Source organism: Homo sapiens, chromosome 5 (genome assembly GCF_000001405.40).
Source record: "Homo sapiens chromosome 5, GRCh38.p14 Primary Assembly".
Lineage (NCBI taxonomy): Eukaryota > Metazoa > Chordata > Mammalia > Primates > Hominidae > Homo > Homo sapiens.
In genome coordinates this window covers 96795691-96821400 of record NC_000005.10, presented here as the reverse complement: position 1 = coordinate 96821400, position 25710 = coordinate 96795691, and the positions used below count along the sequence as shown (strand labels likewise).

The 25710-nt window shown below is 42.2% G+C and overlaps 1 protein-coding gene and 1 long non-coding RNA gene across 19 annotated transcripts in view, besides 6 other annotated features; one reads left to right on the top strand and one right to left on the bottom strand.

The window, feature by feature from the left end:
• ERAP1 (endoplasmic reticulum aminopeptidase 1) overlaps positions 1–25710 on the top strand; it is a 175042-nt gene that overhangs the window by 114454 nt on the left and 34878 nt on the right. For 4 of the 18 annotated variants that reach the window (XM_047417310.1, XM_017009581.2, XM_011543485.3 and 1 more), the window contains 4 exons: positions 7091–7343; positions 17458–17998; positions 20401–20539; positions 24092–24226. In XM_047417310.1, coding sequence (XP_047273266.1) covers positions 17475–17998; positions 20401–20539; positions 24092–24226 — 798 coding nt within the window. In that variant the 5' untranslated portion in view covers positions 7091–7343; positions 17458–17474. Of the gene's footprint in view, positions 1–7090; positions 7344–8888; positions 13564–17457; positions 17999–20400; positions 20540–24091; positions 24227–25710 lie in introns of those variants that run through there. The other 14 variants (NM_001349244.2, XM_005272016.5, XM_047417312.1 and 11 more) reach the window with 8 other exon arrangements.
• Positions 4347–4486: an enhancer, noted in NCBI's record as "active region_22817". NCBI's record gives its function as "activates an Ori minimal core promoter by ATAC-STARR-seq in GM12878 lymphoblastoid cells {active_cell/tissue: GM12878}" and the evidence as "EXISTENCE:reporter gene assay evidence [ECO:0000049][PMID:35858748]".
• Positions 4543–13943, bottom strand: LOC124901033 (uncharacterized). The gene is made up of 3 exons (XR_007058879.1): positions 12824–13943; positions 9387–9573; positions 4543–7324 (listed from the first exon to the last, which is right to left on the bottom strand). It is a non-coding gene; the product is annotated as an uncharacterized LOC124901033 (long non-coding RNA).
• Positions 12776–12845: an enhancer, noted in NCBI's record as "active region_22816". NCBI's record gives its function as "activates an Ori minimal core promoter by ATAC-STARR-seq in GM12878 lymphoblastoid cells {active_cell/tissue: GM12878}" and the evidence as "EXISTENCE:reporter gene assay evidence [ECO:0000049][PMID:35858748]".
• Positions 13002–13501: an enhancer, noted in NCBI's record as "H3K27ac hESC enhancer chr5:96143603-96144102 (GRCh37/hg19 assembly coordinates)". NCBI's record gives its function as "activates a minimal SCP1, AML or CMV promoter by ChIP-STARR-seq in naive and primed H9 embryonic stem cells {active_cell/tissue: H9 hESC(naive and primed)}" and the evidence as "EXISTENCE:reporter gene assay evidence [ECO:0000049][PMID:30033119]".
• Positions 13502–14003: an enhancer, noted in NCBI's record as "H3K27ac hESC enhancer chr5:96143101-96143602 (GRCh37/hg19 assembly coordinates)". NCBI's record gives its function as "activates a minimal SCP1, AML or CMV promoter by ChIP-STARR-seq in primed H9 embryonic stem cells {active_cell/tissue: H9 hESC(primed)}" and the evidence as "EXISTENCE:reporter gene assay evidence [ECO:0000049][PMID:30033119]".
• Positions 13502–14035: a biological region, named in NCBI's record as "H3K27ac hESC enhancer GRCh37_chr5:96143101-96143602".
• Positions 13576–14035: a silencer, noted in NCBI's record as "silent region_16195". NCBI's record gives its function as "represses an Ori minimal core promoter by ATAC-STARR-seq in GM12878 lymphoblastoid cells {active_cell/tissue: GM12878}" and the evidence as "EXISTENCE:reporter gene assay evidence [ECO:0000049][PMID:35858748]".

Here is a 25710-nt window from a genome sequence, read left to right as displayed (position 1 = left end):
GTGGCAGTTTCTTTTGGAGTCTGTTGAATTTAAAAGTGTTTATAGAACATTGAGATGGTTAATTTTATATGTCATCTTGGCTAAGCTATGGCACCCACATGTTTGGTCAAATGTTAGTCTATATGCTGCTGCTATTTTTTAGTATGAGTAATACTTAAATCAGGAGACTTTGTGTAGATCTGATTATCCTCCATAATGTAGCTGGGCCTCATCCAATCCGCTGAAGGTCTTAAGAGAAAAGATTGAGGTACCCTGAGGAAGAGGGAGTTCTGACTCCAGACTGCCTTTGAACTCAAGATGAAAACATTGACTCTTCCTTGGTTTCTCCAGCTTGCCAGCCTGCACTGCAAATTTTGGACTTGTCAGTCCCCACAATTGTATCAGCAAAATCCTTAGAATCAATCTCTCTTCTTCTCTCTTCCTCTCTCTTCCTCTTCTTCCTCTTCTTCTTTCTCCTGTAAGTTTTATTTCTCTGGAGAACCCTGATACAAATATTCAAGAGAAGTCTCCAGAGTAAGTGTTTATACAGATTTAGAGCTCAAAAGAGAAATCAAAGTAAGTAAACAAACAAATTAGAAGTTATTACTATGAGAGTGGTATCTCTGAATCTGAGGGAGCTGAGAAAATGCAAGAAAGAAGAGGTTACAGACAATATCAAACATGGCACAAAACCCAACATGATTGAGAAAAAAATATTTAATCTGGCAACTAACTAATCAGCATTTGCTTATTTGCCATTTAGCAAACAACATAGCTTAAAAAAAGACAAATGAAAGAAAATCTCATTTTCAGAATTAGTAGCAATTTTATAGGACTCACTGAAAAATTACATGGTTGTAGATGTTATATGATCCTCAACAGTTTAAGGAAAACTAGTAACGTTTAGATTTCAGCAAACTTTTACAAGACTGTTTATCAACATTCAAATCTGAAGTATATTGTTTTTTCACATATTAAGGACCAGATCAGATCAGCAATTAGAAGTATGACATACAAAATAATCACCCTCAAGGAAGGTTTAAATTAGGGATGAATTTCCAGTATTGACGTTCCAAGCACCCTGCATATTCTTGCTACTAATTCTGAAAATGAGATTTTCTTTCATTTGTCTTTTTTTAAGCTATGTTGTTTGCTAAATGGCAAATAAGCAAATGCTGATTAGTTAGTTGCCAGATTAAATATATACTTGAGTATATATTTTCTCCCATAAAATGCAGTAAAATGATTTTTAGAACTTTGAGAGATCCTTTCAAGAATGTTCATGAAATTTTAAAGCTTTTTTTGCTGTTTCCGTTGAGATTTTATCACTTGAGAAAGTGAATATGCCTGTGATGGCAAATGGAGAACAACAGAATTGGGTTGGGATGTGGATTCTGAGTCATTGGCCCACATATGGGTGAAGTGACTCCTTCTCTTGCATCTGTTCATGTAACTCTAACCTACGTCTCGGCAAAATTATAAACTACCCAAGTGCTAGACCTTCAGGTCACACCCAAATAGTCAAAATTGTAAATATTAAATCCATAGGTGCTTGAAGTCTATTACACGCTCAATCTTTTGATGATGTCCTAAGAAATAATGACTTCACTCACAAAATACTAGAATACTGTGCTGAATATGCAGGGTGCTTGGAAAGATCCATGTCAATACTGGAAATTCATCCCTAATTTAAACCTTCCTTGAGGGTGATTATTTTGTATGTCATACTTCTAATTGCTGATCTGATCTGGTCCTTAGTACGTAAAAAAACAATCCTAGGAAAAGTGTTTGGTTTTTCAAACTTACGGTATAACAAGTTTTGAAGAAGCTTCAAGGCAAGTAAAGGAAACACACCTGAGTTTTGTTGGTAGAAAACATTTTATTTTCTCTCTCTCTCTCACACACACACAAACACACATACACAAACACACACACCCCTCTGGAGCCACAGGCTCTCCTGCCTTCCTCCTCTCACAGCAATTTTTCTTTGGTTCTTCCCCATTGTTAGTGAAATAGCTGGAACTCACCAGTCTACACCGCTGATGATTGTCTGTAGGATGAAAACATGATGATATGGTGGTAGCAGCTGTCCATGAGGCTTCTGACAAATGAAGCTGTTCTTAGAGAGTACTTACCTGAAATTGAGTGATGTTACAAAATCACTGAAATAAAGTCAGTTGGTTAGAAAATGCAGTTCAAGCCGGGTGTGGTGGCTCACGCCTGGAATCCCAGCACATTGGGAGGCCGAGGCGGGCAGATCACGAGGTCAAGAGATTGAGACCATCCTGGCCAACGTGTTGAAACCCCGTCTCTATTAAAAATATAAAAATTAACCGGGCGTGGTGGTGGGTGCCTGTAGTCCCAGCTACTCGGGAGGCTGAGGCAGGAGAATCGCTTGAACCTGGAAGGCGGAGGTTGCAGTGAGCTGAGATCATGCCATTGCACTCCAGCCTTGGTGACAGAGCGAGACGCCGTCTCAAAAATAAATAAATAAATAAATAAATAAATAAATAAATAAATAAATAAATGCAGTTCAGGTTTGGCTTCATTGGAATTTAGGTTGACCTCAATGTATGGGAAAGCAAAGAAATGTCACTTTTCTCATGGAACACAAAAGACACTACCTTCCTTTAAGTGAATAGTGGAATAGCAGGTTATAAGATTGAGACTGTGGTTTGTTTATTACAACTCTTAAAATTAAACGCTACTGATTCTCACCGCAATAAAACTATCTTTATCCAAGAGGGAGGATTTATGGCATGGATTCTGAATGCCTCGGGCGTTGAAGAAAGCTGGAGGAAAGAGGTAGTCCCAGGCCTTAATTAAGGATGAACTCAGAAAACCTGCACAACAAAAAAAGCCTCTCAAGCTTAGCCTCCTTTTCTTTCTTCTTTGGGGTTATTCTCTCAGCCATCACCCATAGCGGGAACTTAGCCATTAACTCTAGGGCCATATTTATATAGTGCTGGGAACATAAAGGAAAAAAAAAAAAAAAGAGGCTTCCCTGTTAGCTTCAGCCAGAACAATCCTGGGCTGGGAGTCTGCTTGGACTGGCTTTGCCCTTGGCCTCATCGCGGTGGCCAGAGAGTGGAGGTGTTGTGTTCATCTCAGACTGAGCCTGAGCAGTGTGATTATTCATTTACAGGAGGAAAGGGAGGTGTGTTGAGCAGGCAAAAGGGTTTTAAAGCCCCTGGAGACATTCCAAATATACCAAATGATAACTTGATTTTTGGCAATATGCTTCTGTCACAATGTTAAATATTCATCTCACTCCCAAGTGCCCCGTGTCTTTCATAATCTAAATCTACGATTGGTACCTCAATTATTATTTTTTGTTCTTAATTACAATCAATATTACTTGAGGCTTCCTCATGATTGCTTTATTTCTTTTTTATTTGTTCAACCTCAGTACAGTTTAATATTTATTGCAGATATTGGGACTGGCTCACTCAGCATCTCTTCCAAACGCTTTTCAGAATTTCTCACACCACTGCAGAGTCGGGAAAGCAAACACTTTATTTTCCAGACTCCTTGCTCCTAGATTCTAGATGTGCTTTAGGCTCTGCCAAACAGTAGCACTGGTGGGAGACTTGAATTTGGAATTGAGTTCGGTAGGGAGACAGGCAGCTCTTGAGCTATTCATTTTGTGGGGAAAGATTGTGGCACACATGGTATGGTTCTGGAGCCAGCAATTGTGGCAGAGGCTGCCCAATTTAGCAGATGGCTCCTGGATCATGGCAAGAGAAGCAGTTTCACTGGTGGCCAAGTTCTACATTGTGGTTTTGCGATTTGTTTCTGGAAGCTCAGTCTAGTGTATTTTTTAAGCCTTCCCAATGATTATGTAAGTCATGTAATAGCCTGCAATAAATCCTTTTCTGATTAAATAGCTTAGTGATTCTGTGCTCTGCCATTGAACCCTGACACAACATAGAAATTAGTTTTTAAAATGTCATTGATCTTTTTGATTGTGTTATTTTTCTTTTTCTTATTTATAATTGCATGGATACAAAACATGAAATGAGGTTGGCATTATTTATTGCTTTGATGAGCAGGTGAATTAGATGATCACAGTTGCTAACTGATGCTTGGTTAGTTAGACCCATAGGAAACACCTGCTGTGGTTCAACAAGCTGAGGCTGGAGGTCTTCCATTGGCCCCTATAGGTCCACTCCTCACCCTTCTCTATCCTGCTCTGTGCCCTGGGACTGCCTAGCAGGAATGGCTTTCTGTGTTCCCTGGCTTTGCCCATGGGGAGACTTGATTTATGCTGGTTGCCCGTCCCTCCAACCCCAAGTCTTTAGGTTACCATTTACTTTCTCTTTCAAAAGTGTCCTAGTTGATGTAATCCTCCTTTCTGCTTAGAGTTTGTACTCTCTAAACAATGAACACTTATTAATTCCTTACTATACAGTTCCTCTGTTTTGCCAACTGAGAATGTATAGTCCAAAACTCACGAGCAGAATGGCCACTCTGGTGCTGTAGCAGTCTGCTTTTGCCCCTGGAGTTTGGTGAGGTCCGGGGTCTTATCTCACAACTACAAAATAGGCACACAGACATGGAGGGTGAGTAGGGCAGAGTAAAATTTATTAAGCAAAAGGAAAGCTCTCAGCGAAGAGAGGGGTCCTGAAAGCAGGTTGCCAGTAAGGTGTCTGTGTTCTGTGTCTTTTATGTGGCAGAAGCCAGGAAGTCTTCTGTGGGTTTTGCCCACATGGGAGGGATAAAATTCCCTCCTGGGGTACTATATCTACGCATGCCTAAGGTTGACCAAAGTGACTCCAACTGGTTGAATGCCTAAGTGAAACCCATGGTGGGAGGTGCCTAAAACCACAACGCTAATGTTATGTTAATGGCATTATAGTGAGCTGGGTCAAATTAAGGACATTTAGGTTGATTTGTTGCACCTGTGCCTAAGTTGAGACCGTCCCTGCTGAGCAACATCCTGGCATAAGGGCAAGTTCTTAACCACATTTCTTCCTGTTAGCTGCAGAGGCGGGGTAGGTGCTGTCCTGCAGTTGTTCCTGTGAACATTGTTCCTTTCTGTCCCTTCTCCCTAGACCCTCCATCTCTATCTGCCTATCCAGCCCCTAACTCCTCTCTCAGTGCTTTCCCTCCAGTACATACCCATATTTTAATTTTCAAGTGTGCAATTTTCACATGTATAATTCGTTAAGAAAGAATGCAAGGGAACGATTCAGATAGTCATCAACAAACTGCAGCTGAGTCCAGACTCTGTCTACCTTTCTTCCCTCTTCTGTTTGCATCATCTCCAATAGTTTTTCTAGGATCCAAAACTGATACTGATGCTGCCCAGTTTTTAGTGCTGGCCCTTTGAGGTTCACTGATTCTCCTACATTTTCTGGCTAACGTGTGGAAAATCTGCTTTGTTCCTAGTACAACAGTGATAAAATAATTTTTTATTCCCCTAAATTCCCAAAAGTAGCTTATACTTGCCATGAAGTTTAGGCTATATCTCGATCTCTATCTTTCCATTTATCTATCCATCCATCCGTCTATCCACACATACATATATGTGTCTATTTATCTCTCAAGATTTACAGTATCAGAATTTTTCAGAGTGTGGCTCAGGAATCTTTTTTCTGTTAAGCAAGTTTCTTAAGCATTGTGATGTATTTTTTTGCTTCAATTTACTTATTGCATCTGTTAATAAATTACTGCTTACAAAAACAGTAAAGAAAAAAAAGAATTAAAAACACCTTAATGGCTGAGTGTGTCTGTAATCCCAGCACTTTGGGAGGCCGAGGTGGGTGGATAATTTGAGGTCAGGAGTTCAAGACCAGCCTGACCAACACGAAGAAACCCCATCTCTACTAAAAGTACAAAAATTAGCCGGATGTGGTGGCGCATGCCTGTAATCCCAGCTACTCAGGAGGCTGAGGCAGGAGAATCGCTTGAACATGGGAGGCAGAGGTTGCTGTGAGCCGAGATCACACCATTGCACTCCAGCCCGGGCAACAAGAGCAAAATCCCATCTCAAAAAAAAAAAAAATAAAAAACAAAACAAACAACAACAACAACAACAACACCTTAATAGTTTGGGTGTTTTATTTAGCAGTGCATTTACAAAGATCAAATTAGTGACATAAACTTTGAGTTTTCTATTTTCATCTTTTAGAATGGGAACAGTCAGAATGCTAAACTCACACAGATTTTATAAAAGTTTAGCAATCTACCACCAGGACTGGAAAACCAAGGGAAAAAACAAATCTAACACAATGCTACAGAAACAGAAAAGCCCAGAATTCTTGCTAATTTAACTGAAGTTTAATTTTGACATCTTTGGCTGATCCAACCACTCAGTCTTGGTCTCTTTCCCTTCTCTTATGGACAGGGAGTTAGGTAATAAAAATCAGCCAAAGATTCTCAAAGTTCTGCAGAGGTAGACATGGGCTGGTCTTGCTGCCAGAGCTGGTTAGTACTTTGGGTCTTTCTAGAATATTTGGTGTTAGGCCTAGATAACTCAGCTACATCTGTAGTGCTTCTCTGTGGCTGCTCAGTTTATAATTCAGGTCTTGCTCGGACCCCTAGTCCCAAGGACACCTTTTCCTTTGTCTTTCTGTTAAAAGTCTCTTCAACTTTGAGCTTCCATTGGGCCTATACTATTTTCTCTAGACTGTAAAGGCTCTTTCTACCTTTAATCATCTTCTTCACCGATGTTCAAATCCAGTTATCGGGGCTTGGTCTCTTTGTTGGTCAGGATGTCAGCTGCCTTCTTTCTCCTGAATTTGGCATCACTTCTGATGAGCATAAGCTAATTCATTTTTCCATCAGGAAAAAAGCTATCATTGATTTCTCATGAATATCTCTTATTTGGGAGATATTCCTATTTTCAGCTCAATGAAGAACCAAATCTTTCTAGTCTCTAGAATCTAGTCACTTCTGTAATTTCTTCCCAATTATCCACTCACCAGTTATTTTTTTGATATATGTCTCCTTCCCTGCCTCAAAAACACAGACTATGCCAATCCTAAGATTATAATAGTAGAAATATCTTCAATGTGCAGTAACATTAGTGTGGCAGACGTAATCTAAGTTGCCCCCATGATCCTTGCCTCCTGGTATTCATTCTCTTGCATAATTTCCTTTCTTTTAGTGTGAGAGAAACCTGTGACTTGCTTCTAACCCATAGGATATGGCAAGGAACTAGTCATATCTGAGAGCAGCCTCCAGAAAACAGTCAGCAAAACACTGAGGTTCTCAATCCGATAGTCAATGAGGAACGGAATGCTGGAACAATGATGTGAGCTTGGAAGCAGATCCTTCCCTTCTGCTGGGCCTCAGGTGAGACTGCAGCTCCAGTCATCATCTTGATTGCAGCCCACAGAAACTACCAACCCACAGAAACTGTGAGTTAATAAATGTGTTGTTTTAAGTTGATATGTTCGTATTATTGATACACAATAATAGATAACTAATAAAATTAACAATAAGAGACACTTTTCCTCCAAAGGAAGGAAATGGGCCATTTTCTTAGACAAGATAGTAAAAAGTGACAAGGAAAACTTCCTAAACAAATACCATAACAGTTGGATTCACTAAAAAAACATTATAACACGAGAACACATATTTGAAATGATTTAGCTCTTTATGGCTTGATCTGTAAGGCTATCTTTTAGAATTTCTTTTAGCTAGATATAACAGAATGCTAACTACAGTTTGTTAAACAAGTAAGGTAAGGTGTTTATCTTCCTCGTGTATGAAGATGCCTTATGCAGGCAGTCCAGGCTTTTTTTTTTTTTTTTTTTTTTTTTTTGAGATGAGTCTTGCTGTGTCGCCAGGCTGGAGTGCAGTGGCACAATCTTGGTTCACTGCAACCTCCGCCTCCTGGGTTCAAGGGATTCCCCTGCCTCAGCCTCCCAAGTAACTGGGACTACAGGCACGTACCACCACGCCAGGCTAAATTTTTGTATTTTAGTAGAGCTAGGGTTTCACCATGTTGGCCAGGACGGTCTCGATCTCCTGCCCTCATGATCTTCCTGCCTTGGCCTCCCAAAGTGCTGGGATTGCAGGCGTGAGCCACCGCGCCTGGCCTAGAGGTCATTTTAATTATTTCCCTAAACCTGCCTATTAGACTACTCTTAAAATTTTTCAAAGGCTTAGAGATTATCTTGCATTTTAAAATGTTTATGCCTAACCTGTTGCCCTTCTCTTCAATTTGATAGCTAGTATTTCTTTGTCTCAAAGGGCCTCTAAACACTTCATTTGTTCATCCTTTAGACAGCTTTGTAAATAAAACCAAGCATTCCTCCTATGGTCCAGACAGCTTCTTAAGGACAGATAAAGTCAGCATTCCTAAGCACCAGGGTAGCCAAGGGAGTGTTGTAGGTTTATAGGGGTAAGATAATGTCTCTTTCTTCCACTTCCCACCACTTAGTTCAAACCCATAAGTTTAAATGAGATAAGGAGAACTGTCTCTTAGGAAGGGTTGGGAAAGAAAAAAAAGAAAGGCTGTGGTGGCCTGAAGACCACTTGAGTCATTTCTTCCATAATCACAATCTAATTTTCCAATAAATTGCAAGCATTCCTAGAACCACAGACTTCACTTAAGCCAAACTCTGTCAATTTCACACTGCCATGTATGGATGAGCATAAATGAGTTTCTCTTTTCAGGCCCCAATTGTATATACTTTACAGAACTTCATTGAGAAAGTTATTCGTTTCTTTCCTTTTCTCCTTTGTATCATAGCTCATTTAATTTCAATATAATAAAATCCATTAACCTTCTAGAAACTAAGGTTTTGAAAAGTTATTTTTCCCATGTTTAGTTATTGCAACAGATATTCATTATAGCTAAGGCAAGACAGTTAGTAGCATAACACCATGGTCCCTCAAAAAATAACAATAAACAAATCTACATATTTTTCATCCCAATATTTTTATCATTCCTTTAGGCATATGCAAAGATCATGTTCACTCCTGGCTGGATAATTCATTCTTTCTTTGTGAAATAGCTGTGGCAGAGGGAGCCATAAATAAAATAAAGCCTCCTAAACAAAGGTTTGCTTTAATCTGTTCATATTGACAATATCTAGTAAATTCTGATATTTCAAACAACTCACCATAACGGGTATAGATCTGGGTTTTTAAGAAATTGACATGATTTATCCAGACACATTTGTGGGTTTTCTTTGAAATAGTAGAGCTTTACTGACTATGACACTTTGCATTTTAAAGAAATTTCATTGCTTTCTCTTGTGTGTCATAGATAATTTTTATATAACTGAATTGTGATTCTCCAGTAGATAAATGGACAAGAAACATAAACATATAATTCTCAAAAGAGAAAACACAAAGCAAAAACGGCTAATTAACATATGTTCAGTGCATATATTCAGTCTCATTAGTGATGAAAGAAATACAAATTTAAGAAATATGTCATGGTGACTTACCTCCTTGTTGACACGAGCAAAGGTAAAAGCAACAGGAATACAGAAGACTGGCTAGAGAGCAGTTAGATGGGCCTGTCACCTACTGAGGAAGGTTGGAGACAGGTGGATTCCCTGGGTTCTGTAAGGCTGCAAGAACTGGAAACATGCTCAGGTTACCTTAGACAGCAGTATCTTGTGAAATAAATGCCTGAGGGAGGGAAAATGGGAAACATGTGATCAGTCCTCGTGGCACCTAGAATGTTCTTCAGGATCCACAATTCTAGAAGTTCAAGGGCAGCTGTGGTCACTCAACTTGCTTGAGTTGTTCCTACAGAATCTGGCATACATTGCTCGCTCCCATAGTGCTCTGTTGTATGGTAATACAGGACTCTCTCTGAAGACTGACTCCAACTGGCTAAATCAAAAAGGAAAGCATTGGTCCTCTTGAATGGAAGGTCTAAGGACAGGATTTGCTCAGGACAGCTGGAGCTGAGGGCTTTAGTGGAGGTATTCTCTGTCTCTGTCAGCCCTGCTGTCCTTTGAACTGGCTTCACTTTAAAGCAGGCTTTTTCCATGTGGTGGCCCCTGGTAGGTCACTTCACATCTCTAATCCTGTTTCCTCATTCTAGAAAAATGGAGCTACTAGCCACCTGCATAAGTACAATGTGAGGATCCCATGAGATAGACTATATGTAAATGCTTTCAAGCTGCCACATTTCAGAGGACTTTATTATTTGATATGAGCTCAGTGGCCTGTTTTGGAACAGTCTTTAACATGGCATCTGTACCGTCTTCCCTGTTTCTGATTATTAATAAGATGGTATTGCTTTTGTTAAGCAAGCCTGCTCTGCAACTTGGCACAGAGGGGGAAAAAAGTCATCCTCTTTATCAAGAATATCAAGAATGAGGGGCATTATTATTTTTTTTTAAATTGGCATTTAAAAAAATTAAGTTCTAAGGCCCTGGGAGCCTATGGAAGAGTCTCAAGGACCACAATGTGTGTGGAAGGGCCGGATAGCAGTGGGCAAGGCTGACTGGGTGGAGCTGCCCTGTTTAATAAGAGCAGGCCTGCTTTTGTCTGTTTTCTACACCATGATTCTGGATGAGATTTTACATCAAAAAGGAGAGTGGTAATATGATTAAAATAGGAGCAGCTTTGGCAGCAAAACAGAAGAAATGAGCCAAACGCTGACATTAATTGACTAAAAGCTAATGAAAGCAGAACTGAATCAATCAATTACAGCAAAATTGAACATCACTTGACAATATCTAGAATTCAATATTTTTTAAGTAGATCAGTAATAGCTCAAAGTGGTATGTATTTCATTGGCCTAGGCCTGAAATTCTCCTCATTCCTCTGGCTCACCTCTGGGACTAAGGACACTGAGAAGCCTCTGCAATGGATGGGCTCAACCGGCCAACCAGCCCTCCTACACTATATGGTATACAATATTAGTGTTTACCAACCCCTCCTTGTTCTGGCCAATGCAATGTGAGTAGAATTAGTGTGTGTTTTCTCTTTGACTCTGAGCAAGTTGCCGACCTGTCTCATTTTTCTCATCTATAAAGCATAATATCTACATTACAGGGTTGCTGAAGAGATCAAATTATAAACACACACATGCACACATAGCTAGCATTTAACAGTATCTAACAGTTGGTAGGGAATCAATAAACCTAGGTACCCTTTCTCTCTGTTCCCTTCCTTCTAACCATTTCTAAGCTCGGTAATGTGCTGTTTTGATCTCACAGGCTCTAGAACTAGGACTCCTTAAAGTCCTTACTCCAAGGTCTGTGTCCTCTACATCCCTGCTAGGGCTTTGAAACTAGAAGTGAATGCTGCCAAATCCTCTGACTTATCGCTCTTTGTAGTGCACTTCAACTCTAAAGACGAAATCACGGCCAGGGCGACAGGCTAAAGTCTGAGTCAGGGTGAGCTTTTGGGGAAACGGCGTGGAGCGGGTGGTGGTGTCAGCTCTCTCCTCGCCTACACTTCAGCTCCTTTCTGCCCACATCCATTCAGGGCATTGCCCTGTTTGTCTCCTCAGCTGTCTTCTGTATTAACCTCCAGCCTGTTGGGTGCATTCAGTTCTGCCAGCTGGACTTTCAATATGTATTTAAAAAGACACATAAACAAAAAACAAAAACAAAAACAAAAAAACTTTACTAGAAGCCAAAGGAAAACCATCATATTCAAAAATATAAATATAAAAGCAAAGAAATGCATACATTTACTGGACAAAGAGGTCTCATCTTGAGTAAACTGGGAGCACTCCGAGATGTCTGGAGGTCTTGGAGGCTACACGCTATCCATTGATACCTCCTGTCAAATTCTGAACATGCAGAAATTACCAGATCTCAAAGTCCTCATTTCTTGTTGAATTTTAGTGAAAAAAACTTCCCTGGATCCCACCGTAGTTGAGTCTTGGAACAGGGTGTTAATCTTTATATTATAAAATGTCCTTGACTAGAGATAATAGGCAGTATGAAACATTATATTTTTAAAAAGGAAACATAATATTGAAAAAAAAAGAGAAATACTGTTGCAGTGACTTGGAATCCCCAGTTCTCAAAGGGAAGAAGGCCAATAAAGAAGTGGGAGAAGAAAGTCTGAGAACCGCATGAAAAGGGTCCTGTTCCCACTAGGACCATGGTCCACTCACCAAATTATCAGAGACGTTTGAACCAGAGCAACTCCATCTTGAATAGGAGCTGGGTAAAATAAGGCTGAGACCTACTGGGCTACACTCCCAGGAGGTTAGACATTCTAAGTCACAGAATGAGATAGAAGGTAGGCACAAGACACAGGTCATAAAGACCTTGCTGATAAAACAGGTTGCAGTAAGGAAGCTGGCCAAAACCCACCAAAACCAGGATGGCAATGAGAGTGTCCTCTGGTCGTCACTGCTACGGTCTCACCAGCTCCATGACAGTTTACAAATGCCACTGCAACGTCGGGAAGCTACCCTATATGGTCTAAAAAGGGGAGGCATGAATAATTTCCCCCGCTTAGCATATAATCAAGAAATAACCCTAAAAATGGACAACCAACAGCCCTTGGGGGTGCTCTGCCTATGAGTAGCCATTCTTTTATTCCTTTAGTTTCTTAATTACTTGCTTTCACTTTACTCCATGGACTCCCCTCAAATTCTTTCTTGCGCAAAATCCAAGAACCCTCTCTTGGGGTCTGGATCGGGACCCATTTTCGGTAATAAACTTGTAGCATTTGGTGTTTTAATGTTTGTGTTTTCTTGACTTGTTACCTCATTTAGCCTCAACTGTTTAAAGATGGTCTTTTTGGCCATTTTATTCAGCTTTAATTGTTCTAAGGGGAGTGAAGAAATGGTCATTTACTTTGAAAAATCAGAGGGAACGTGTTGATGCGGGAAGCAGCTAATCCTTGGGGTACAGTGGCCCTTGGTAGTGCAGGAAAGTCCTGGGGGCCACCTCTAACCCACCTTCCTCCTCTACAGCATCTCCCACTGTAGTCATTCTCTACCGAAGCCCCAGAAGGTGCGGCACTTTGCCACGACAGAGTACTGGGTTCATGTTTCTTTCCGAGGCGGGCCAAGAGCTCTCAGCCCACTGGCAGTGGCGAGATGACGGACACCCAGCGAGTCCAATGGGCGTCGAACGCGTCTAGGCTTGGTGGACTTGTCAGCGCCTGCCTGGCTTCGGTCCCCAACTTGAGCACCGGCCCTTTCCTGCATGCCCCTAACCCTCGCAACGCTAAACAGTGAAAAAAAAAAAAAGACAAAAACAAAAAGCATCTCAACACACACACACACACACACACACACACACACACACACACACACACACACACACACACACACACACACACACACGGATCCGCGTTCAGAAAGGCGTGCACTTCCTACGCCTGATCCCCCGCATCGCAACCTCGCAGCTTCCCCGGCGTGCAGCGCTCATTTACCAATTCCCTTCCTGGGAGTTGCGGCTTCCCTCGCTCGGCCCCACTCCCGTTTACCCTTTCCCCAGCTCCCGCCTTAGCCAGGGGCTTCCCCGCCTGCCGCTAGGGCTCGGGCCGAAGCGCCGCTCAGCGCCAGCCTGCCGCTCCCCGGGCTCCACTTTCACTTTCGGTCCTGGGGGAGCTAGGCCGGCGGCAGTGGTGGTGGCGGCGGCGCAAGGGTGAGGGCGGCCCCAGAACCCCAGGTACAGCGCGCTCGAGCCGCGGGTAGGGGACTGCGGGCCGGGAGGAGAGCGCGGCACCCGCCCCTTCCCTGCGCCCGTCAAGTGGGGGGCTGAGGGCCTGGGGCACGGGAGGAGGGAGACGGGGCACGGGAGGAGGGAGACGGGGCGCGGGAGGAAGGCGACGGGGCGCGGGAGGAAGGCGACGGGGCGCGAGACAGGGCGCGGGAAGGGCGGGGGGAGTCGCTGGCTAGGCCCGAGTCCGCGGGGTGCCCGGCGGGTTGGCGGCGGGCCCACCCCTGCCGGTCCCTGTCCCTGTCCCTCCGGGCGCGTGGCCGGTGCGCCTGCTTCACGGGTCTCCCCGCTGTTCGGCCGGCGGGAGCCTCCCTCAGCGCTCCGCCTGGCGCCTGGATGCCTGCCAGTCCTGCAGGCCACCGACGCCCGCGCGAGGCCAAAAGGCGGGGTGGGGCGGGCAGCTGGCTCGGGCTGAGGAGGGCACCTGCCCATAGCTGCTAGAGAAACCCAGAGGCTTTGGGTTAAAGACTCTGGTGGGGTGGGATGCGCGGGCCGTGTGTGTTCTTAAGGTCACTTCCCTCCCTGCTTCTCCTGTTCTTCTGGTCAGCAATTCTCTCTCTCCCCTTCGCTCTGGCTCTGGCTGGGTTTTATTCAGATAAAGCACCTCTGTTGACGCAAATTAAAAGTTTCCTATCTGGGTGCCTCACTGGCCAGGTGGTCCTACAAAGTTAATTCCATGAGGGGAAGGGGGAGAGCACACACTTCCTCACGCTTTTGGATTTCTTTGTGTAGGCTAGGTTCAGAAAGAAATTATCTGTTTCCTATTAAACACCCAGAGGATTCGCTCTGAACTCAGGACGTGGTCAACAATTAACAAAACAACAAAACAAAACAAAACAAAACAAAAAACTTGAAAATTGGGCACAGTTGTCTCTTGCCTGAGGATTTTTAATTAGTATAAGTAGCACATTTTCAGGTGCGGCCTGAATAGAAACATTCTAGTACTTTTTTTTTTTTCAAATTAATCCAGCATTTTTATTATTTACCAACAGTGCTTGTTAATTTCATTGTTCAGGAAATTCTGGAAGAACCTCAATTACTTCTTGATGATCTATTTCATATACTATAGTGCCCCAATAAAAGGAAGGGAGGCAGAGGTTGCAGTGAGCCAAGATCGCACCACTGCACTCCAGCCTGGGAGACAGAGCGAGACTCCGTCTCAAAAAAAAAAAAAAAAAAAAAAAAGAGGGATCTTGGTGAAGCTGAAAAAGCAGGGAGTTTATACTCACACAGATGTGGATTGCATTCCAACAAGTTGTGTGAACTTAGCAAAGTTACATGAATGGTTCTTTGCTTCAGTTACCCCACCTTGAATGAGAATAATAGGCTATTAGAGAGAGTGAGCATGTGTAAAGTGCCTGGCACTTTGGAGGAGCTTAGTAAATATTAGTTCTTTTTCCTCCTTGGCTTCTATTCCTTTAAGTGTTAGTGGAGTGTAACTTCAAAGAGAATTGTACTTCTCTTGGGAAGAGCTGCTTATATTGAGTAGACTACTGTTTTTGAGAGCTTTCTTTTTTTTTAACTGCCTCCCTTTCAGAAAATTGTTAGTAAAACCAGACCCTAGGAGACCAGCCAGAACCATGAAATGCCATGTTTCAAACTGGAACACTTACTATTGGAAGCAAAGCCAAACAAGAGCTAATTTTTCAGGGGAAGAGCCAAACACACGAACATGATCACAGAATCTTGGATGTAGCCTACAGTTTGGGATTAATAAGAGAATTTATTAGTGAAGCCCTTTATTCACTACATGGAGTTTTTACCAAGCCCCACTCATGCACTGCATCCTCGTTGAGACATAACTGTTTCTCTTTGGACCCCTCATGGACCCAACCCTGCAAAGCCTCTGATCCAAGGTCCCGGTACCAACCCCTTCCGCAGCACATCAGCCTTTCTGTCAGCTCATAACGAGTTGGAATTTCTAGATCTTCTCTGGGGCTGTTGGAGAGGTCTCGGGGACTTTCAGAGTCCTTACATGCTTGAACCTGCCACCTTCACAGAGTCCTCTGGATCCCGTCTTGGGGCAGGGGCGATGCTCATTAAGCTGTTGCTGCCAGTAATTCCATATGGAAAGCAAAACACAAGTTCCATTTACTCTCTAGTTCCCCAACTTCAAGGGCAAAAAAATGTTCTCCCTGTTCACACTTCCTGTCTCACCTGGGTGGTGCCTTTTGAACTGGGATTATGAGATTTCCAAGACTCTCTCTAATGTGTAGGTATCCTTTCTGTTTAGCCTCCAGATTGCTCCAGAGGTGAGGAGAAGGGAATTCCCTTGAGCTGTGCATTTGGGAAGGGAGCAAGGAAGTCAGGGGTTAGGGAAGGCACTTCAGCCATTGCCTTGAATTAGTATCCTATCACATAGAGTTGAAGGGGGAAAGCCAGGATTTGGCAAGGATGAGCTTTTCAACCTTGGCTTCTCAGTAAAATCTCTGGACAGTTTTTTTTTTTTTTAAAAAAAAAAACCAAAAACCAGAAATTAAACAATCCGTAAAACCATACCCCGATCTTATCACCATAGGTTCCAGTTTAATTGTTGTCAATAAGGACCCAGGCATCGAAAATTTTAAAAGCTTCCCAGGTTACATTAATATGCAGCCAGAGTTAGGAAACTTGACATCTCAGAGAGGGAGAATTCCATGTACTGTGAACACTTTGAGGGATCCACATTGTAAGCTTGCTACTTTTCCCAACTGGAACACGAGGAGTTTGGGCCAATCACTTGCATTCACCTGGTATGGGCCCCTCTTGGCAAACACCCATTAGAAAGGTGCGTTTGTATAAAAGAAATAAAAACTTATGTTTGATGCTTGGGGCATGGTTTGCCAACTTCCTTAAAATTCACATTGCCTTTTTTTTTTTTTTTTAAAGACAGAGTCTTGCTCTGTTGCCAGGCTGGAGTGCAGTGGTGCAATCTCAGCTCACTGCAACTCTGCCTCCCAGGTTCAAGCGATTCTCCTGCCTCAGCCTCCCAAGTAATTAGGACTACAGGTGCGCACCACCACACCCAGCTAATTTTTGTATTTTTAGTAGAGACGGGATTTCGCCATGTTGGCCAGGATGGTCTCAATCTGTTGACCTTGTGATCTGCCCACCTCATCCTCCCAAAGTGCTGGGATTACAGGCGTGAGCCACCATGCCTGGCCTGAAATTCACATTGCTTTTATGTCTTTAAAATCAATCCAGGTGATTGATACGTTTGCCACAAACTACTGGGAAAATTAAGCTCTTTAAGCTCTTCCTGGCTAAATAAATAGGTAATTAACTTTTGGCATGACAATTTGAGGAAGACACTGATGTTATTAAAGGTTACCATTACATATACTTACAGGGGAAGTGGAGACCTCGTTCTAGTGGTGGCTGCCACTGTGTCAGCATTTGATTTCCAGGGTACTAGGGTGACTTTCTCCAAGGTCCAGTGTCAGTGGGGAGTGGTGCTTGATCAGATGTTCCTCTGATATGGTTCTGGTTTTGCTTCTTTCATGAGCCTGGTTTCCCAAATGTCCTGCAACTCTGTGACCCGTGTAGTGAGCCACTCAGGATCCCCTAATGATTCCTTTTCTGCCTATATCAGCCAGAGCTTGTTCGGTTGCTTTCAACCAAGAACCCTGACAGGTAGAGTTAATTTAAACTTTGAACATCAAATGATGCTTTCTAGTACGTGTTAATGATTGTTGCTAACTGTAAACATCTTTCTTATATGAAACCATAACATAGGGAAGGTCCTTTTACTTTCAGGAAAAGACCTAGTACTTTTGGAAGTTTATGCCTATTTCTGTGAATGCTGGGTGGATACATTCTGAAATTATGCTGTGTCAATAACATTTTAATGACATATATTTTTGCTTTTGTACATTTGTGCCGCTAGGTAGGTAGAGCAAGAAGATGGTGTTTCTGCCCCTCAAATGGTCCCTTGCAACCATGTCATTTCTACTTTCCTCACTGTTGGCTCTCTTAACTGTGTCCACTCCTTCATGGTGTCAGAGCACTGAAGCATCTCCAAAACGTAGTGATGGGACACCATTTCCTTGGAATAAAATACGACTTCCTGAGTACGTCATCCCAGTTCATTATGATCTCTTGATCCATGCAAACCTTACCACGCTGACCTTCTGGGGAACCACGAAAGTAGAAATCACAGCCAGTCAGCCCACCAGCACCATCATCCTGCATAGTCACCACCTGCAGATATCTAGGGCCACCCTCAGGAAGGGAGCTGGAGAGAGGCTATCGGAAGAACCCCTGCAGGTCCTGGAACACCCCCGTCAGGAGCAAATTGCACTGCTGGCTCCCGAGCCCCTCCTTGTCGGGCTCCCGTACACAGTTGTCATTCACTATGCTGGCAATCTTTCGGAGACTTTCCACGGATTTTACAAAAGCACCTACAGAACCAAGGAAGGGGAACTGAGGTATTTTTTTTTCTCTTTTTCTTTTAAACTGCAAGTGCTGCCCACGCTAAATTCATTATTTCAGATTGATTGTCTTTTAAAATTCCCTTTGCTGTTGAACTTTTTCTTCAGTTTTGCTTTTGCATCTTCTTTATAGTGTTAAAAATGGCTTTTTCCCTTGCTTTTTAAATCTCATTTTAAAATTCTATTTTAACCAATTTTCTTTCCCCCAGCTCTATCAGAGTAAATATCTATTTGTTTATTTGGTTCGATTTCTGAGACATAATAAACATGTTTAATTTTCCTGAACTGTGTATTAGTTTCCTAGGGCTGTTGTAACAAAGTACCACAGACTGGGTAGCTATAAACAACAAAATGTATTCTCTCTCAGGTCTGGAGGCTAGAAGTCTGAAATCAAGGTGTCAGCAGGCCCGTGCTCCCTCCAGACTCTGGGTAGAATCCTTCCTTATATCTTCCTAGCATCTAGTGGTGGCCGTGGATCCCTGGTACTCCATGCCTAGCACCTGCGTCATTCTAGTTTCTCCCTCTGTTAGTCGCATGGCCATTCTATTTTCCTATGTCCCAGTCTCCATCTTCTTATAAGGAAACCAGACATACCAGATTAGGGCCCAGCCTGGTGGCCTCTTCTTCACTCCATGATACTTGTAAAGACCCTATGTCCAAATAAGGTCACATGCACAGATACTACAGGTTAGGACTTCAGCAAATCCTACTAGCAACATATTAGAGGAAATACTTTTATCTCAGTTAAAACTTTTTTAGAGATCTCTTCTCACCTTGCTTTGGTTCTGTTTTTAAGGAGGAGACTTATTTGGGGGAGATTTTATGCTCAGTTTTAAAATGGAATTTTATTTGTTGGTAGATTATACTAATTTATTTTTCAAATTCCATATTATTTTATCAAGGTAAGAAAGTAAAATTTATTTCACTCATAGCCCCCTGAACTGACCACTACTTCTATTTCACTGGAATATTCTGCCAGACTTCTTTCTGGATATGCATATATATTATTTTATATAAATAGAATTCTTATATTTTCTCTTTTACAAGGAAATTTTTTAACTTAATATGTTGGGAAGATGTTTTATATAAATGACTATTACTAGACATCTTTTTAATGATTTTATTAAAATACATAGTTGTACATTAATATCTTTAATCCCTCGGGAATGGAAATGAAATTGTTTCCAATTTTTCAGTATCAACAACACTTTGATGAGCATTTTTGTAAATTATTTCTTTAGAATAAATGCCTAGAAGTAAAATTGGTAAGCCAAAGAGCCTATAAATTTTTGATAAACTTTGTCATTTTTTCTTACCCCTCACCAATAGTGTATATTGGCAGTCTTTTTAGAGCAAAAAAGGTCCCCAAATAAATGATCTCTTTTTAATTTACGTAACTTTGATTAAGGAAGTTGAGCAGCTTTTGATATGTTTGTTAATGATTTATAGGTTCTTCTTTTATGAATTGCCTGTTAATGACCTTTGACTTTGCCTGAGATTCCCTTGGTTGTTGGGGATTTTTTTTTTTTTTTTTTTTTTTTTTTTGTCGAGACGGAGTCTTGCTCTGTCACCCAGGCTGGAGTGCAGTGGCGCGAACTCGGCTCACCGCAACCTCCGCCTCCCGGGTTCAAGCAATTCTCCTGCCTCAGCCTCCTGAGTAGCTGGGATTACAGACGCGCACCACCACACCCAGCTAATTTTTGTATTTTTAGTAGAGATGGGGTTTCACCATGTTGGCCAGGGTGGTCTCGAACTCCTGTCCTCGTGATCCGCCCGCCTAGGCCTCTCAAAGTGCCAAGATTACAGGTATGAGCCATTTTTAGGATTACATATTTTTAGGATCTCACTATCTGTTAAGGCTATTAAGTTTTCCTCACATACTTCTTAAATGAATTTTCCCTGTTTTTTACTTTTTCTTTTTAACTTTTTTTTTTTTCTTCCCGAGACAGGGTCTGGTTCTGTCGCCCAGGCTGGAGTGCAATGGCGCAATCTCAGGTCACTGAAACCTCTGCCTCCTGGGCTCAAACCATCGTCTCACCTCTGCCTCCCAAGTAGCTGGGACTACAGGCCTGCACCACCATGCCTGGCTAATTTTTGTATTTTTGGTAGAGATGGGGTTTTACCATGTTGCCCAGGTAGGTCTCACACTCCTGGGCTCAAGTAATCCTCCCACCTCAACCTCCCAAAAATGTGTTAGGATTACAGGCATGAGACACCATGACCATGCCCAGTGTAACTCGTCTTTTAACTTAGTTTATGATAGCTTTTGTCAGATGAAATATTTTTTAGTAGCAAAATCCATCAATCTTATAGTAACTTTAGGAATTAAAAAGCAAACACCTGTTTTAGAGTTCCTGGTGCTTCATGCTCAATTTTTATTTCACTTGCCTTAATTTTAGGATACTAGCATCAACACAATTTGAACCCACTGCAGCTAGAATGGCCTTTCCCTGCTTTGATGAACCTGCCTTCAAAGCAAGTTTCTCAATCAAAATTAGAAGAGAGCCAAGGCACCTAGCCATCTCCAATATGCCATTGGTGAGTCTGCACTCCTGTGTATTTTCTATAGGAAAATCTACTGATTCTCTGTGACTTGCACTAGCCCAGTGACAGTCAACATTGGGTCACCTGTTTTGTTTTATTGCCTGGCAGATCGTTACTAACTTTTCATTTATAACCTATGCTTTTGTTTCAAGCCATAGTTATATGTAATCAAAGTAAAAATTGCACCTAAAAATGCAAGATTTCAGTAACAGTGCCATTCCAGGTTATACATGCTGATAGGAGGGAAGTGGTATAAGAAATTCAGGTCAGGTTTAAATATTAGTGCCCTTCACAAAGCACTTTCACCCTCATTTTCTCATATGATCTTTTAAAATGATTTTAAAGGTAATGCTTTGTCAATAAGGCCATATTTTTAGCATACAGTTATTTTCTCTAAGTTACATATACTATATAGTAATATTCATTATATAATTTGTAACTGAATGTACAAAATTGGGCAGACAGAAAAAGAGAATAAAAGTAATCTTTTCCAAATATTATGGTGCTGAAGGTAAGTCATGATAGATAGCTTAGCTTCCAGAGGGAAACTATTATTCCCCAATCTCAATGCGGATGTGGACAGCATTCCCTCTGATTTTTAAAAGTGACTAGAAGATGACCATGCCAAATGAATAAAACTGTTCAGTAAGTGCCATCATCCTTTGATTCTGGTAGTTTAGAAAAGCATCAGCTGGGCCGTCATTCTGCAGCTGGTATATAACACCTCCTGGAAGCACATCCTTTGTTCAGAGAAACTCACTGGGGATCAGAGTCAGAGTAGAATAGGCTTTGCCTAGAGTCCTGAGGGAAGAACAGCTTTGTCCCTGTGCTGACCGGGGAAGCAATATCATAACATGGAGAGATACTGAGAGCCACAGACCAACCTCTAGTGTGGTGCTTCTCAACCTTAAAACTCTATACCTACCTGCCTTCATACCATAAGGATGCCTTCCTCAAACAAGATTCGGATCTCCCACCCCACGCCAGAGGGCTATCCTCTGTAAAAATCACTCTTCTGCAAATTCCTACCAGCCAAGAACTTCTGTCCCCACTCCCACCCTTGTATATGAAAAGACAAGAAACAATTATGCTATTTTCCTAATATAAATTTAATATACAGGATGTGCTTTTTCAAAATATAGTCCTCTCCCCCAGTATTGTGGTATTACTCCCTGGGACAGAAGTGAGTTCTTTAATTGGTGAATCAAAGTTCTAGGAGAATAAAGGACCAGGGATGGGAAGGAGACAGGAGAGAGACTGAAGGACCAAACAGGATTAGTGGAGAAATTTGTAGGCTTTCAGAAGGGAGGCCTGGAGCTTTGGAAGCGCCACAAAGATGCTACAGTCTAAATCCATGGATATCCAGGATCCACTTAGTGAAGATAGGAAAACTTCTTTTTTTTTTTTGAGGATAGGAAAACTTCTAATGCAATGTTGTCCCTTTGGACGGGAATACCTCTCACTAACAGAAATCTAATACGAGTAGCCTGACCTCAGGCTGCAGATATTGAGCTGAGGGGAGAACAATGGGGTCTCAAAAGATCTTTTTGGAGACCAGAAAAACACAATATATACCATTGGAACATTGAAGCTTTTGGGCATGGGGCAGAAATTAATCACATTTAAATTTGAATTAATTTAATCAGGTTATTTTCCTAATAATTAACACAACTCGAGAATGGAAATTTTTGGCCAGGTGTGGTGGCTCATGACTGTAATCTCGGCACTTTGGGAGGCTGAGGCAGGTGGATAACCTGAGGTCAGGAGTTCAAGACCAGCCTGGCCAACATGGTAAAACCCTGTCTCTACAAAAATACAAAATTAGCTGGGCGTGGTGGCACATGTCTGTAATCTTAGCTACTTGGGGGGCTGAGGCAGGAGAGTCGCTTGAACTCTGGAGGTGGAGGTTGCAGTGAGTCAAGATTGTGCCATTGCACTCTAGCCTGGGTGACAGAGTGAGACTCCATCTCAAAAAAAAAAAAAAGGAAATTTTTGTTGTAGGTAGGCAGAAGCAGAATGCATTTAAAAAGAAAAGATGATTTGGGATCCTTTATGAGTAATCCTAGGCTGGGTAGCAGAGTTGGTTTGAATGACCAAATAGTGACCAGAAGTTGGTGGCTGATGGGTATTAAGAAGGATGAGGGCCAGGTGAGGTGGCTTATGGTTGTAATCCTAACACTTTGGGAGGCAGAAGAAGAGGATTTCTTGAGGTCAGGAGTCCAAGACCAGCCAGGGCAACATAGCAAGACCCTATCTCTCAAAACAAAAAAAAAAGATGAGGTCAGAGCAATAGAGGTAAGTATTGGATTACAGGAAAAATGCCCGTGACCATGGTTTCACCCAGCTAATTCTGGCTGGTTCTTTTTCCATCTCCGTGCTTTTTATTGCTGACGTGTTAGACTTTCTTCTTTAGGGGCAGACCTCTAAGACTGTACCTCCATCAACTATACCCCACCCTTACTCTCTGATTGCACTTAAAAAGGTGATTCCAATGAAGCAAATGAAGCAAATCTTTTTTTTTTTTTTTTTTTGAGATGGAGTCTCGCTCTGTCATCCAGGCTGGAGTGCAGTGGCGTGATCTCGGCTCACTGCAAGCTCTGCCTTCCGGGTTCATGCCATTCTCCTGCCTCAGCCTCCCGAGTAGCTGGGACTACAGGCACCTGCCACCACGCCCGGCTAATTTTTCATATTTTTAGTAGAGATGGGGTTCCACCGTGTTAGCCAGGATGGTCTCAATCTCCTTACCTTGTGATCCACCCGCCTCGGCCTCCCAAAGTGCTGGGATTACAGGTGTGAGCCACTGTGTCCGGCCCAGGTTACTTTCAGTTATACAGCAGAACAGAAGCTCTTTTAGGTACTACAGGGTTATATATTTTCCCCGTTGCGTATATGCTCAACAGCTCGACATTGCATTGCCAGATAATTCTCAAACCTGTATTTAAGGAAAAGTGGATCAGCCACATCTTGGCAAAACTCACAATTTCAGTTTTGCTTTGTCTCATCCGTGTTATCAATCCACATATGCCAAATGTGGATTTACAGTGTATTGTAAACTTTAAAATGGTAAGTTGTATGGTATATGAATTATATCTCAATAAAAAAGAAATTGAGTAGAACTGTTTGACGTTAATGTCTAAATTATAATTAGACATTGGAAAGATAACTTTTAAAGTAACTATAGAAGCGTCATTAGACAGGGTCTGGCTCTGTCATCCAGGCAGGAGTGCAGTGGCTCAATCTTGGCTCACTGCAACCTCCACCTCCCAGGCTCAAGCCATCCTTCCACCTCAGCCTCCCCAGTAGCTATGACTACAGGCACGCACCACCAGCAGGACTAATTTTTGTATTTTTTTTGTAGAGATAGGGTTTCACCATGTTGCTTAGGCTGGTCGCAAACTCCTGAGCTCAAGCATTCTGCCTACCTCGGACTCCCCAAGTGCTGGGATTGATACACTTTTAATATTATGTCTGATAATTAGGAAATTTATCATGTTCACTGTATTGGATAATTGGATTACTTGATAATTTGAATTATTCTGATTTTAGGTGAAATCTGTGACTGTTGCTGAAGGACTCATAGAAGACCATTTTGATGTCACTGTGAAGATGAGCACCTATCTGGTGGCCTTCATCATTTCAGATTTTGAGTCTGTCAGCAAGATAACCAAGAGTGGAGTCAAGGTGAGCCTATGACTGTCACATATGGTGACCAGCTTGTTCTGGTTTGCTTGGAACTGGTTTTAAAACTGGAAGTCTGCCTGAGCGCAGTGGGTCGTGCGTGTAAACCCAACATAAACCCAACAGTTTGGGAGGCTGAGGTGGAAGAATCACTTGAGGCCAGGGGTTTGAGACCAGCCTGGACAAAATAGTGAGAACCTGTCTCTGCAAAAAATAAAATAAAAAAATTAGCCAGGCATGGTTCCTTGTGCCTGCTACTAGTCCTAGCTACTAGGGAGGATCCCTTGAGCCCAGGAGTTTGAGGCTTCAATGAGGTATGATTGTGCACTCCAGCCTGGGCAACAGAGCAAAACCATGTCTCTAAACAAACAAACAAAGACAAAACCAAATACCAAAATCCTGGAAGTCCTGCATCCTGGGAACCTTCTCAATCTCAGGCAAACTGGGATGGTTGGCCAGCCTGTTGTCACGGATGCTCATTTGTATAGTGAGGTTCTAATAACAACAACGTGGAGAGAGTGTGGCCTGGCCTGAGTCATGATCCTGGCTTCACTGCAGTCACTTCACTGACTCTCTGACCTTGGCCCTATTCCCTCTGAAACTTAGTATTTACTTCTTTGGAAGGTATAACTTGGACTAGATCCTGCAATGGTCTCTAAGGTTGCTTCTGGTTATGGCTTTCTGCAGTTTGGAAGTAAATGTTACTATCTGGCAGGGGATTTCTGGCTATGGTAAGGAAGATAGAGCAACCTGCTTGGAATACCCAAAGGCTTTGGGCCAGGTACACTGGAATGCTGGAGAGAAAAATCTTGTTTCAAGGCACACTTGTTCCTCATTTGGGTACTGTTGCATAGTGGGCAACCTATTCAACTGTGTGCCGTAGCTCAGAATGCAAACAGGTTTTTCTGAGGGGAGGAAGGGATGCTTTGTTTGAAGATACCTTATGTGTTTGTGCTGGTTTTCACTGAGGCCTGAATAGATGGGGATTCCCTGCTGAATTGCTTTGTGTTCCTCTAGTGCTGAGATTTCTTATTCTTGTGGAGGTATCTTTACTTAACTGGGGATTTGAAGGTGACGCTTGAGACTCGGATGAAGGGAACATTCTTAATTCAGCAGTGAAACTATCAGCAAAAACACCCGCCCATTGCTTTGCCACTTATCTGAATCTCTTAGAAATGATTATTTTAGTAATGTCTAATCTATATTAATATTTTTAATTCTTTCATTTCTTTAAACACATTAAGCATACAATTATATATCTGTGTCTGGTAATTGTTTTATCTGAATTCTTTGTGTATCTGATTTTGTGGTTCGTTGTTTCTGCTGGCTCTTGCTTATGGTATCTTGTTTCCTTGTTTGTATTATGAATTATGTTTGTGAGCTTACGTTGCCTGAGTCTAAAGTGGATTATTCCAGAGAGAAATTGTATTTGCTCTTACAGAGTGTCTGGGAGTACTTACTGGTCCAGGGATCACTTTACTTGTAGT